At 43.9% G+C, this 15,061-nt stretch overlaps 1 long non-coding RNA gene across 2 annotated transcripts in view; it reads left to right on the top strand.

Moving 5' to 3' along the window:
- LOC105376017 (uncharacterized) overlaps positions 1–15,061 on the top strand; it is a 104,021-nt gene that overhangs the window by 66,125 nt on the left and 22,835 nt on the right. For both annotated transcript variants that reach the window (XR_929559.2, XR_007061451.1), the window contains exon 5: positions 11,812–11,898. This is a non-coding gene — a long non-coding RNA (uncharacterized LOC105376017). The remainder of the gene's footprint in view (positions 1–11,811; positions 11,899–15,061) is intronic.

The raw sequence follows: 15,061 nt of genomic DNA, 5'->3' as shown, positions 1-15,061 counted from the left end.
AAGAGCTGTCTCAGCAAGTAGTTCAGATGAGGGAGTGACATAGTGAAGTTCCAGTTGCTTTGTGCAACTTGCAAGCACTCCCCCAGGCAGTGTGTGACATGTAACATCCATCTCATTTTAACCTTTGGTTGTCTGTGGACCTCTGATTGCCCATGGGATAGTCAGAAACACAAAGGTAAATGCCACGTGGCTGAGATTTTGGGGGTGGATTACTGAGCATGCTCTAGGCACGCTAGCCTGTAGAGTTTTGTAGACTCCACTTCTGGTTGGACAAATTTTAGTGGTCACAACCTCTTAGGCTGGCAGTTCTTAACCAGGTGACTACTTGTTTTGTTAAAAGTACTGCGTTATCAATAGAGTATGAAAGTTTGTTAGAGGTTTCCATTTTTTCTTTGTCAATTAGGGCAGATTCAAAATTACCCTACAATAATGTCCCCCACATGCATATTCCGGCAGGTTTTTTGAGTGCAGCAGAAAGAGGTCTTGCCTTACAGTTACTCTAATAGAAATTGAACATAGTTCACAAACTATTATCTGTATGTGGTTGTTACAGGAAAGGGTCCAGATCCAGACCCCAAGAGACAGTTCTTGGATTTTGTGCAAGAACTTGGTGCAAGTCCATGGAATAAAGTGAAAGCAAGTTTATTGAGAAAGTAAAGGAATAAAAGAATGGCTACTCCATAGACAGAGCAGCCCAAAGGCTGCTGGTTATCCATTTTTATGGTTATTTCTTGATGATATGCTAAACAAGGGGTGGATTATTCATGCCTCCCCATTTTATTTTACTGTTTTATTTTTTATTTTTTTATCATATTTTGTTTTAGGGTACATGTGCACATTGTGCAGGTTAGTTACATATGTATACATGTGCCATGCTGGTGCGCTGCACCCACTAACTTGTCATCTAGCATTAGGTATATCTCCCAGTGCTATCCCTCCCCCCTCCCCCCACCCCACCACAGTCCCTGGAATGTGATATTCCCCTTCCTGTGTCCATGTGATCTCATTGTTCAATTCCCACCTATGAGTGAGAATATGCGGTGTTTGGTTTTTTGTTCTTGCGATAGTTTACTGAGAATGATGATTTCCAATTTCATCCATGTCCCTACAAAGGACATGAACTCATCATTTTTTATGGCTGCATAGTATTCCATGGTGTATATGTGCCACATTTTCTTAATCCAGTCTATCGTTGTTGGACATTTGGCTTGGTTCCAAGTCTTTGCTATTGTGAATAGTGCTGCAATAAACATACGTGTGCATGTGTCTTTATAGGAGCATGACTTATAGCCCTTTGGGTATATACCCAGTAATGGGATGGCTGGGTCAAATGGTATTTCTAGTTCTAGATCCCTGAGGAATCGCCACACTGACTTCCACAATGGTTGAACTAGTTTACAGTCCCACCAACAGTGTAAAAGTGTTCCTATTTCTCCACATCCTCTCCAGCACCTGTTGTTTCCTGACTTTTTAATGATTGCCATTCTAACTGGTGTGAGATGATATCTCATTGTGGTTTTGATTTGCATTTCTCTGATGGCCAGTGATGATGAGCATTTTTTCATGTGTTTTTTGGCTGCATAAAAGTCTTCTTTTGAGAAGTGTCTGTTCATGTCCTTCGCCCACTTTTTGATGGGGTTGTTTGTTTTTTTCTTGTAAATTTGTTTGAGTTCATTATAGATTCTGGATATTAGCCCTTTGTCAGATGAGTAGGTTGCGAAAATTTTCTCCCATTCTGTAGGTTGCCTGTTCACTCTGATGGTAGTTTCTTTTGCTGTGCAGAAGCTCTTTAGTTTAATTAGATCTCATTTGTCAATTTTGTCTTTTGTTGCCATTGCTTTTGGTGTTTTGGACATGAAGTCCTTGCCCATGCCTATGTCCTGAATGGTAATGCCTAGGTTTTCTTCTAGGGTTTTTATGGTTTTAGGTCTAACGTTTAAGTCTTTAATCCATCTTGAATTGATTTTTATATGAGGTGTAAGGAAGGCATCCAGTTTCAGCTTTCTACATATGGCTAGCCAGTTTTCCCAGCACATTTATTAAATAGGGAATCCTTTCCCCATTGCTTGTTTTTCTCAGGTTTGTCAAAGATCAGATAGTTGTAGATATGCGGCGTTATTTCTGAGGGCTCTGTTCTGTTGCATTGATCTATATCTCTGTTTTGGTACCAGTACCATGCTGTTTTGGTTACTGTAGCCTTGTAGTATAGTTTGAAGTCAGGTAGTGTGATGCCTCCAGCTTTGTTCTTTTGGCTTAGGATTGCCATGGCGATGCGGGCTCTTTTTTGGTCCCATATGAACTTTAAAGTAGTTTTTTCCAATTCTGTGAAGAAAGTCATTGGTAGCTTTATGGGGATAGCACTGAATCTGTAAATTATCTTGGGCAGTATGGCCATTTTCACGATATTGATTCTTCCTACCCATGAGCATGGAATGTTCTTCCATTTGTTTGTATCCTCTTTTATTTCCTTGAGCAGTGGTTTGTAGTTCTCCTTGAAGAGGTCCTTCACATCCCTTGTAAGTTGGATTCCTAGGTATTTTACTCTCTTTGAAGCAATTGTGAATGGGAGTTCACTCATGATTTTGCTCTCTGTTTGTCCGTTGTTGGTGTATAAGAATGTTTGTGATTTTTGTACATTGATTTTGTATCCTGAGACTTTGCTGAAGTTGCTTATCAGCTTAAGGAGATTTTGGGCTGAGACAATGGGGCTTTCTAGATATACAATCATGTCGTCTGCAAACAGGGACAATTTGACTTCCTCTTTTCCTAATTGAATACCCTTTATTTCCTTCTCCTGCCTGATTGCCCTGGCCAGAAACTCCAGCACTATATTGAATAGGAGTGGTGAGAGAGGGCATCCCTGTCTTGTGCCAGTTTTCAAAAGAAATGCTTCCAGTTTTTGCCCATTCAGTATGATATTGGCTGTGGGTTTGTCATATATAGCTCTTATTATTTTGAAATACGTCCCATGAATACCTAATTTATTGAGAGTTTTTAGCATGAAGGGTTGTTGAATTTTGTCAAAGGCTTTTTCTGCATCTATTGAGATAATCATGTGGTTTTTGTCTTTGGCTCTGTTTATATGCTGGATTACATTTATTGATTTCCGTATATTGAACCAGCCTTGCATCCCAGGGATGAAGCCCACTTGATCATGGTGGATAAGCTTTTTGATGTGCTGCTGGATTCGTTTTGCCAGTATTTTATTGAGGATTTTTGCATCAATGTTCATCAAGGATATTGGTCTAAAATTCTCTTTTTTTGTTGTGTCTCTGCCCGGCTTTGGTATCAGAATGATGCTGGCCTCATAAAATCAGTTAGGGAGGATTCCCTCTTTTTCTGTTGATTGGAATAGTTTCAGAAGGAATGGTACCAGCTCCTCCTTGTACCTCTGGTAGAATTCGGCTGTGAATCCATCTGGTCCTGGACTCTTTTTGGTTGGTAAACTATTGATTATTGTCACAATTTCAGAGCCTGTTATTGGTCTATTCAGAGATTCAACTTCTTCCTGGTTTAGTCTTGGGAGAGTGTATGTGTCGAGGAATTTATCCATTTCTTCTAGATTTTCTAGTTTATTTGCGTAGAGGTGTTTGTAGTATTCTCTGATGGTAGTTTGTATTTCTGTGGGATCGGTGGTGATATCCCCTTTATCATTTTTTATTGTGTCTATTTGATTCTTCTCTCTTTTTTTCTTTATTAGTCTTGCTAGCGGTCTATCAATTTTGTTGATCCTTTCAAAAACCCAGCTCCTGGATTCATTAATTTTTTGAAGGGTTTTTTGTGTCTCTATTTCCTTCAGTTCTGCTCTGATTTTAGTTATTTCTTGCCTTCTGCTAGCTTTTGAATGTGTTTGCTCTTGCTTTTCTAGTTCTTTTAATTGTGATGTTAGGTGTCAATTTTGGATCTTTCCTGCTTTCTCTTGTGGGCATTTAGTGCTATAAATTTCCCTCTACACACTGCTTTGAATGCGTCCCAGAGATTCTGGTGTGTTGTGTCTTTGTTCTCATTGGTTTCAAAGAACATCTTTATTTCTGCCTTCACTTCGTTATGTATCCAGTTTGTTCAGTTTCCATGTAGTTGAGCGGTTTTGAGTGAGATTCTTAATCCTGAGTTCTAGTTTGATTGCACTGTGGTCTGAGAGATAGTTTGTTATAATCTCTGTTCTTTTACATTTGCTGAGGAGAGCTTTACTTCCAAGTATGTGGTCAATTTTGGAATAGGTGTGGTGTGGTGCTGAAAAGAATGTATATTCTGTTGATTTGGGGTGGAGAGTTCTGTAGATGTCTATTAGGTCTGCTTGGTTTAGAGCTGAGTTCAATTCCTGGGTATCCTTGTTGACTTTCTGTCTCGTTGATCTGCCTAATGTTGACAGTGGGGTGTTAAAGTCTCCCATTATTAATGTGTGGGAGTCTAAGTCCCTTTGTAGGTCACTCAGGACTTGCTTTATGAATCTGGGTGCTCCTGTATTGGGTGCATATATATTTAGGATAGTTAGCTCTTCTTGTTGAATTGATCCCTTAACCATTATGTAATGGCCTTCTTTGTCTCTTTTGATCTTTGTTGGTTTAAAGTCTGTTTTGTCAGAGACTAGGATTGCAACCCCTGCCTTTTTTTGTTTTCCATTTGCTTGGTAGATCTTCCTCCATCCTTTTATTTTGAGCCTATGTGTGTCTCTGCACGTGAGATGGGGTTCCTGAATACAGCACACTGATGGGTCTTGACTCTTTATCCAATTTGCCACTCTGTGTCTTTTAATTGGAGCATTTAGTCCATTTACATTTAAAGTTAATATTGTTATGTGTGAATTTGATCCTGTCATGATGATGTTAGCTGGTGATTTTGCTCGTTAGTTGATGCAGTTTCTTCCTAGTCTCGATGGTCTTTACATTTTGGCATGATTTTGCAGTGGCTGGTACCAGTTGTTCCTTTCCATGTTTAGCACTTCCTTCAGGAGCTCTTTTAGGGCAGGCCTGGTGGTGACAAAATCTCTCAGCATTTGCTTGTCTGTAAAGGATTTTATTTCTCCTTCGCTTATGAAGCTTAGTTTGGCTGGATATGAAATTCTGGGTTGAAAATTCTTGTCTTTAAGAATGTTGAATATCGGCCCCCACTCTCTTCTGGCTTGTAGGATTTCTGCCGAGAGATCCGCAGTTAGTCTGATGGGCTTCCCTTTGAGGGTAACCCGACCTTTCTCTCTGGCTGCCCTTAACATTTTTTCCTTCATTTCAACTTTGGTGAATCTGACAATTATGTGTCTTGGAGTTGCTCTTCTCGAGGAGTATCTTTGTGGCGTTCTCTGTATTTCCTGAATCTCAACATTGGCCTGCCTTGGTAGATTGGGGAAGTTCTCCTGGATAATATCCTGCAGAGTGTTTTCCAACTTGGTTCCATTCTCTCCATCACTTTCAGGTACACTAATCAGACATAGATTTGGTCTTTTCACATAGTCCCATATTTCTTGGAGGCTTTGCTCATTTCTTTTTATTCTTTTTTCTCTAAACTTCCCTTCTCGCTTCATTTCATTCATTTCATCTTCCATCGCTGATACCCTTTCTTCCAGTTGATCGCATCGGCTCCTGAGGCTTCTGCATTCTTCACGTAGTTCTCGAGCCTTGGTTTTCAGCTCCATCAGCTCCTTTAAGCACTTCTCTGTATTGGTTATTCTAGTTATACATTCTTCTAAATTTTTTTTCAAAGTTTTCAACTTCTTTGCCTTTGGTTTGAATGTCCTCCCGTAGCTCAGAGTAATTTGATCGTCTGAAGCCGCCTTCTCTCAGCTTGTCAAAGTCATTCTCCATCCAGCTTTGTTCCATTGCTGGTGAGGAACTGTGTTCCTTTGGAGGAGGAGAGGCGCTCTGCGTTTTAGAGTTTCCAGTTTTTCTATTCTGTTTTTTCCCCATCTTTGTGGTTTTATCTACTTTTGGTCTTTGATGATGGTGATGTACAGATGGGTTTTTGGTGTGGATGTCCTTTCTGTTTGTTAGTTTTCCTTCTAACAGACAGGACCCTCAGCTGCAGGTCTGTTGGAATACCCTGCCATGTGAGGTGTCAGTGTGCCCCTGCTGGGGGGTGCCTCCCAGTTAGGCTGCTCAGGGGTGAGGGATCAGGGACCCACTTGAGGAGGCAGTCTGCCCGTTCTCAGATCTCCAGCTGCATGCTGGGAGAACTACTGCTCTCTTCAAAGCTGTCAGACAGGGACGTTTAAGTCTGCAGAGGTTACTGCTGTCTTTTTGTTTGTCTGTGCCCTGCCCCCAGAGGTGGAGCCTACAGAGGCAGGCAGGCCTCCTTGAGCTGTGGTGGGCTCCACCCAGTTCGAGCTTCCCGGCTGCTTTGTTTACCTAAGCGAGCCTGGGCAATGGCGGGCGCCCCTCCCCCAGCCTCGCTGCCGCCTTGCAGTTTGATCTCAGACTGCTGTGCTAGCAGTCAGCGAGACTCCTTGGGCGTAGGACCCTCCGAGCCAGGTGCGGGATATAATCTCTTGGTGCACCGTTTTTTAAGCCGGTCCGAAAAGCACAATATTCGGGTGGGAGTGACCCAATTTTCCAGGTGCGGCCGTCACCCCTTTCTTTGACTCGGAAAGGGAGCTCCCTGACCCCTTGCGCTTCCCAAGTGAGGCAATGCCTCGCCCTGCTTCGGCTCACGAACCGTGCACGCACCCACTGACCTGCGCCCACTGTCTGGCACTCCCTAGTAAGATGAACCCGGTACCTCAGATGGAAATGCAGAAATCATCTGTCTTCTGCGTCGCTCACGCTGGGAGCTGTAGACCGGAGCTCTTCCTATTCGGCCATCTTGGCTCCTCCCATGCCTCCCCATTTTAGACCATAGAGGGTAACTTCCTGATGTTGCCATGGCATCTGTAAACTGTCATGGCACTGGTGAGAGTGTGGCAGTGAAAACAACCAGAGGTCACTCTCGTCGCCTTCTTGTCGCCATCTTGGTTTGGGTGGATTTTGGCTGGCTCCTTTACTGCAAACTGTTTTATCAGCAAGGTCTTTATGACCTGTATCTTGTGCTGACCTCCTATCTCATCCTGTGGCTTACAATGCCTTCATCATCTAGGAATGCAGCCCAGTAGGTTTCAGCCTCATTTTACCCGGCTCCTCTTCAAGATGCTGTTGCTCTGGTTCACACGCCTCTGACACGGTCTGTTAGCAATGTGTGGAGCACTTAAACTGCATCCATCTTGTGTTGCTTCAGAATGTTTGAGAGACTAAGTTTAAACCCACTTCAACATCTCAATGTGTGCTTGGATGCCTCCAGCAGTGGGCAACTCACTGTCTTCCCAGATGGCTCATTCTATTATTAGATATCTCTCATGGGCCAGCTGTTTTCAGGTCCTATTAGAACTGGTTTTGTCCCTTTGGGATATGTAGAGTAATTCCAAGTCTACTCCTAGGTGATGTCTTCAGTATCTTAGAAGGCAAATTTCTTGTCTCGCTTTGAGTATTTTGCCAGGCATAGGTTTGCCTGTTCTATGGAATGTGCTTCATGTGACGACCTGGTTTTAAATTCCCACATACCCTGTTTGCTCCACCGGAGTGCAGGTCAGTTTGGCAACATCTCTCTTCGTGAGTATTGTGCAGAATTGAGCATTCTACTTCCCCACAATTCTGTAATTTCTTATCTTACTCAAGTAAGGGAGGACAAACACCCTCTCCCCTAAGAAATAGCTTGAATCCTGACTATAAAAAATGCATTAATTCTGTGATTTCACTTTTGAGTAAGAGGAGCACTAATGGGAAGCTGAAACCTCCCACCTGCAACCCTTCATACTCACCTTTCAGGGATGCATTCCCAGCCCATCTTCTTCCCTCTCACCCTCGCTTACCCCTTCTCCTCCAAGCCAGAACTACCGGCCCAGGGATTTGGGCCTGATGATCTCCAAGGCATATTCAATCAAAAGCTCAGACTATCTCTAAAGCGAGAGGTTAGAGCTTATGTTTAAACTCCAAGAAGTATGAACCTCTTGCTAACAGGGTTCACTTGTGATAACATACAGTTTTTCTCAAATAGGGGAGGTGCTGTCTTCCTAAGGGGACCTTTGAAAGTGTGTGCAAGCATTTTAGTTGTTACAATGCTGGGAAGCAAGTGTCACTGGTATTAGAGCCATGAATGTAATGAAACATTTGTAATGCTAGGGACAGTCCCACACAAGGAAGAAGTGTCCCACTCCGAATTCCAGCAGTGCCCTAAGCACTTCCCCTATTATTAATAATTAATTGCTATTATAATTAAGTGCTAATAATTATTATCAGGCAAGCACTGATGGGAGGAGCATAGGACTGAGTCAGAAGACCAGGCTTTAGTCCTGCGTTTGCTCTTATTGGTATCATTTTCCTCACTTGTAAAATGAATGGAAACACAAAGCTAGCCTGAGGACTAATTGTCAAGCATTTTATTGGGTTTTTTTTTCTTTTGGTGGTTTTTTTTTTTTTTTGAGACAAGTTCTATTTGGCTGGTGCAAAAGTAATTGCAGTTCTGGCAATTAAAAGTAGTTGCAAAAACCGCAATTACTTTTGCACCAGCCTAATAGCTCTGTCTCCCAGACTGGAGTGCAGTGGCATGATTATAGCTCATTGTAACCTCAAACTACTGGGCTCAAGTGATCCTCTCATCTCCACCTCCTGAATAGCTGGGACTATAGATGCATGCTACCATATCTAAGTAAAAAAATGTATTGTATAGAGACAGGGTCTTGCTATGTTGCCCAGTCTAGTCTTAAACTCCTGGGCTCAAGAGATCCTCCTGCCTCGGTCTCCCAAAGCACTGGGATTACGGGCATGAACCACTGTACATGGCCAATTACCAGACTGTTTTTAATGACACTTTGCTACACAGCCCATGCAGTTTGGGAGGGCCTGACCCCACACCAGCTTTGGAGCTGGGCAAGGTTTGGGGACATGGCCTAGGGTTACAATACTCTAATTCCATTCCCATGGCTCATTGGTAGGCTCATGATCATCACCCAGGCCAGGGATAATAAGGCCCTGGTCTTTCGTTAGAACCTGTCAGAGAAGAGAAGCTCTATTTTCAGGTCAATTCGGGCCTTGGAAACTATGGGCCTGAAGCTGTGAGTGGCTGCCATGTGGAGCCTGAGAGTGATGTCGGCCCAGCCAAGGCAAAGCCAAGAGATTAGAGAAGTGGCTGGTGGACATTATTCAGGCTGCTGGATAAAGCTAAACCTGGGCTTTAAAGATATTCCTGGGCATTTTTATCAGAGGCATTTGAACCAGAGACCCCTTTCTGGTAACATTTAAATTATGTGAGAAAAACATTTCCTTTTTTAGTTAAGCCAGAGTGACTCTTTTACAACTCAAACAACCGTGACTTACCTGACTTTCATCTCTCTGCCTTGAATTGAGGTTGCCTGTGTCTCCCAACTTGACTCCAAGCTCCTTGAAGACAGTCACTTTTTAATTCTCCCAGCCTTCCTAACACTAGATGTTAAGTGTAGTACAGATAAGCACCCTCAAATATTTGATACATGAATAAGATGAAATAAAATGATATATATGAAAGAATTTTGTTGACTGTCAATTACCTTACAAATATAGCTACCAAAGTTCTCATGAACATTTTCTCCTGAAATCTTTGTCTCGTGAGTATCTTTGTCTCGTGAGTCGTTCTGAGCAATAAGATTAGTACGTAAGCAAAGGCATCACTCAGTTTGGTTTTCACATTTGTCCCCATTCCAGCTTTGTACCGAAGCAATCTGTCCTTGCTATTGTAAGCCTAATAGTCTCCCTCATCAGACTGAGTTTCTGCAGTGAGAAGACCTTTTCTGTTTCATCCCTGTGTCCTCATGCAGGTGGTAGGTGTTTAGTTGTTTGCATGTGCTCCTCCCTCCTTCTCAGCTCTCTCAAAAGCAGCCTTTTATTGCTATGGGCTTTTGAGGCTAGATGAATTGCCAGGAAAGTGTATCCCTGTGGTGTAATGGGCCTTCTCAGGGACTTAAGGCATGTCTTTAATTTTCATTCATTCAGAAGACAATCAGAGTACCTACTATGTCCCAGGCATTGTCTCGGAGGATTCATGCTCTGGTGACACTCACAAATATATAGGCAATTATCATGCATCTGGTAAGCACCTGGATGGGGGAAATGTAGGGTGTTCCTAGGAAGTATACAGGAGGTTCCCAGATCGCAGAGAATCAGGGAAATCTTCTTGGAAGAAGTGGCATTAAAGCTGAGGCCAGTCACAAGCAGTGAGTAGGAATTAGCCATGCAATGAGCAGGGCAGAGGGCCTCCCAGTGAAAGGGAATGGCAAGTGTCAGTGAGTCAGCGGCGCCAGGGAGCAGGTGTGTTTGGGGGAACTGGGCATGGCGTGGACTGGCAGCAGCGTGCTTGTAGGTGTGGGGCCACTTTAATGGCTTTGCTTCTGTTGCCTCTTGATCAGGGTCTCCTTTCCATAGTCCCACAAGGCTGTGCCCTTCTTTGCTTTATTTGGTAGTTTTCTTGGCTATCCCTATTAACTTCAAAGATATCAGGATGTGAGGCTATGACATGCCCAGCTCAGCTTGACCAAGTGCCTGACTGGAGTCCTTCCCCTCATCCCCTTTGGAATTCAGTGACTGACTTCTCTGGAGGCACTCCAAGCCTCGGGCAGAGTATAGACGAACCTAACTAGCTCAGGATTGAGTCCCTGCTGATTGCAGCCACCTCAGAGATGATTCAGGGTATTTTAATGAAAAAGATAGCAAGGACTTAGGGGAAGTAAGGTCTGGCAGTGGGAGGACTAGTGATAAGGAGTGGCATAGGGCCAGGATTAAGGGGGGCTGGACCTGCCTCTGGCTCATTTACTTGGTGATAGATTCTCCTCTCCACACTGGAAAACTTTGGAAACCTTGTCAGTTAGGTGGGAAGGGGCTTGGCAGCCCAGGGACTTACATAATTTATATTCCTCCAGTGATGAGCATTGAAACAAAGCCTCGCAGCAACATGCAATCACCACGCTTGGCTCTTCCATGACCACTCCTTCTCCCCTCCTCCACTTGGGGGTGCCACTCCTGAGTCCTGTTTGGGCTGAAACTGAGGACCTATGGCCATGCCTTTAAATCTTTCTGCCAGGATTTTCCTCATGGCAGAGGACTCTGGAGGGAACCCTGGGGGTCTGGGAGCAAAGCCAGAAGAAGTAGCTTCCATTAGTATGATGAGTTCCTCAACATTTTTCATTTTATCTTTAAATTTTGTGCAAGTTTGTATTCCCCCACAATGCATTCATGTGTAATTTAATTAAAAAAACAATAACGATGGTGTTTTAAATTATTTACCATTGAATAAAATCAACATTTTAGAGGATGTGCTGTTTAACCATGAGACTTCATGTGACTCTGGCATGCTGCCTTGTATATAATCCCCACTTTCAGAAACCGGGGCTTTTAGATTATACAGATCTGGGTTACTAGATATGTAACCTTGAGAGGATCACATCACTTTTCCAAATCTCAGCTTTTTCATCTAAAATATGAGACCAGTGAAACTTACATGTCAGAGTTAGTGTGAGGTTTAAGTAAAAAAAGATCTATGAAGGGCTGGCCCATAGTAGGTTTTCAAGATATGTGAACAGTTCTGCTCTTATTAGGAAGAGCTCTGCCTGCTTTGCATTTCTAGAATTCTGTGATTCTGACTCAGCTGACTGAGAAGGTGACCCCATGGGACATTTGCCACCAGAGGGGCTTTGAGGAAAAATAGTATATGTCACTACTAGATGACACAGCTGATGACATTAGCAATAGAAAATAAACTCTGTGGCGTGGAGAGATGTGATGTGGTTTTAGGGCTTATTGTAGTCTGTTTTCCCATTTCTAGGTCTTCCAAATTATGAAAATTGGCAATTGGGCGATGTTCACAGTGTCCCGTCTACTGCCTGGGGCCCCTGTCATGCAGCAGCTGCAGGTGAGTCACTGGCTGGGAGAGAAAGTGAGAACAGCTTTCCGTGCGGAGTTGCCTGACAGCCATTCCCTGCTCAGGGCTCACCCTGCAGTCCTGTGGCTGAACAAGATTTAGGCCATGGTCACTACCTAGACTGGTGAGTATATCTCAGGGCCTGTAATAGCCACCTTAGGAAATTTACTTCTAAATTCCAAAAGTGATAAGTGGGATGCCCAGATCACAATTAAAAAGGAAATGTTACATATGATTCCAAGCATTAATATAAGAACTCTTAACTTTAATTTTGAATATCCAACCACTTTCTGGGGAAAAAGGCTTTGTAATCAAATGACAGTTATTTCTCTGGCTCACCTTGCTCAGAGTCTAGTGGGAGCTGGAGGGCAGGCGAACACATAAGCGAGGAGGAAGGTGACAAAAACCCAGGAGTACAGGGTCATAGGTGAAGGAACTGTGTTGTCTGGAGGCATCAGAAAAGCTGGACAGTGGAGGTGATGTCTGACCTTGAGATTCAGATTCAGGAGACAGGGGTGGGGCTTAGGCATGAATGTTAAAAAAACAAAAAACAAAAAAACCCCACAAAAACGCCTCCAGTGATTCTGATGCACAGCCAGGGTTGAATCTTCTGGGAGATTTTTGTGCTTCTGTTTAGCAGCATTTCCCCTCTGGGCTGTGAGCCCCTCAGTGGTAGGGTTTCCCCTGTTGGCCCAGCATCATTTCTGCAGTCATCTGGGGCCTGACCCCAAGTCCAGGGCTCCTCCCTCTCCCAGGGCAGCTGCCCTGCTGGGATGAGGAACCTGACACTGCAGAATCTGCAGGAACTCAATGTCATGTGTTCTAAAAGTTAAAAACTCAACGAATACAGATATCTGTAGTAGTGCCCTACTCTCATCCTTCTTCTGAAGGAATGCTATGACTCCTTTTCTTTCTAAATGTGTATCTAATCTCTTTTCAGATATATGTTTTATCTTTATTTGCTGTTATTTCCCTGGTTTTCAAAATATGCCCTTGAGTCACTTTTCAAATGCAATGTCTAAGTTTGTTTATTTGTGAATATAAGGGCCTCAACCCTGTGGATCTGAAAACAATTTCTGGGAAGGAGACAGTGAGTGGATTTGATATAGAATCCAGAAAACTGGTACATTCAGAACTGAACTGAGGTGAAGCAGTCACCCAGCTTCAGGCTGATATGTCTCTCATTTCTTTAGGCATGCAGTTGAAATATATGAAAAAAACCATGTTTCAGCAATTTCTGAATCTGTAGTCTTATTTCTACCATGACTGCTCTGCTTCTAAGTAGGAACCCCCCAGCATTTGATGGATGAATGAATGAGGGAATAAATGAAGTGCAACATAGCCCTGAATGGCTATACACTTTAGTCTGTGCCAGGGAAAGTACTAAGCCCACCTCTGGATAGAAGCGTTGTCTGTGGGAGGCTGGTGTCAACATCAAACAGCAGAGGGAGCTTTTCTCCTTGGTCCCTGGAGGAGAGGTGCTCTAGGTGGAGAAGAGAGAAAGAGGGGGCATTCCAGGGGAGCACGTGTAGATTTGCCTCCTCTGAGATGTAGGGTGGGCTCTATGCTAGCTGACCTCAGTGAAACAAGTGGACAGAGTACTTAAAGGAGGAGGAGGGGCCAAGTGTTGTTCTTGAAAAGGACCCACCCTGGAATGGTTGGCCGAGTTCCTGGCAGGCTGGAGAGCTGGGTGCCAGTGTCCCTCTAGGTGGAAGCCCAGGAAGGTGCCCTTCCTCCTCAAGTGCCGTGAGTATTGCTGACCCAGCCCAGCCGGACCCCAGTGTCTATATGCTGCCTACAGTGTGTGCGTGTCCACCTCTACTGTGTAGACTAAACTTCTTGTTTGTGTGTGGTTGTTTTAAATCCTGTGCCATGGTTTGGGAAAAGGGCCACTGGGTCTCATTGCAGAAGGCTGGCTGGTCGTCCTGGTACATCCCTGCAGGGGAGAACATGAGCAGTTAATTGGATAAATAAGAACGGTGATCATACCTATACCTTGAGTGGGCTGAATGGTTCATACCAACCGGAACCGACAAGAGAATCTGATCCTCTTGATTATGTATCGGAACACTCTCTCCCTTTTGGGATGTTTACTTGGGAAGATGAATGATACAGAGGCAGTTACTTGGTAAGCTCAAGACTAGAACAAAGGGACTCATCTATATGAGCCCTTAATGGCTGCTGTCACCAACTTATCTTTATCTTCGTTTTGGGGTTTACCTGCCTTACTGGTCGTATATTCAGGTACACAAGTTGGGGTACCCTCTGCCCTGGACATGGTGGGAGCTGCTGCCCGCTCTTCTCTTGCTGAACTTCCATCTCTTAATGCTGCTGGGACTCTCTATTTCTAGCAACACCTGCATCTTTGGACTTAAAGATTTAATTCAATTACTTAGGCATCTGAGTTTCCTGGTTGCAGTCTCTGAGGTTATGTCCAGGTCCCTTTGATTGGAGTTTGGCTGATCCCAGACAGTATTTTGGGCCATTTTTACTGATGATCTTACCCCTTTCCAAATCTGAGTTTTGAGGAAACTTACAGATAACACGCTGTGCCACCCACACCCTGTCTATCAGGTACCTCTTCTGTACCACCAGAGCCTCTTAGCCCCATCTGTCTAGGACCTTTGCCCATTTGTTCTGCTCGAGCTGCTAATTGGTGACCAATTTTGTGTGAGCTGCAACTGATCTCAGGTGTGACAACCTGGCAGTGCCCTGCCCCATGCCTAGGAAAGTGGTGTTTCCTTGTTCATCCCAAGGCATGTGACACCAGGGACCTGCTTGGAGACCATGTAAAGACCCAGGAAATATAGAGTGTTAATGTCCTGTGAAGAAAGCTTGACTACAGGGAGTTAAAAGCAGATAGATAAATCCTCTTCACTTCTACCCTCTGTACAAACTGACCTGAGATGCAAGTGAACTCACAGCCTTTCAGAATCGGTCCTGCAAGATGAAACAATCAGTGGCAAGTGATCCCAAGCAGGGCCCTGCTTAGTAATGCACTCTAAGGTTTGCTCTTGCTCCTGCTTCCCTGCAATAAACTCCATAGTTTAGTATTAGCACGTTAGCCTTTTCCTCAGGCTCTGTTTCCTGAGGAACCCACGCCAAGACACCCAGTGTTAAGAATGCTTGCCACATCTATGTGTAGAAGTATGCA

The sequence above is a fragment of the Homo sapiens genome, chromosome 9 (genome assembly GCF_000001405.40).
Source record: "Homo sapiens chromosome 9, GRCh38.p14 Primary Assembly".
NCBI lineage: Eukaryota > Metazoa > Chordata > Mammalia > Primates > Hominidae > Homo > Homo sapiens.
This window is presented reverse-complemented; position numbering and strand designations above follow the sequence as displayed.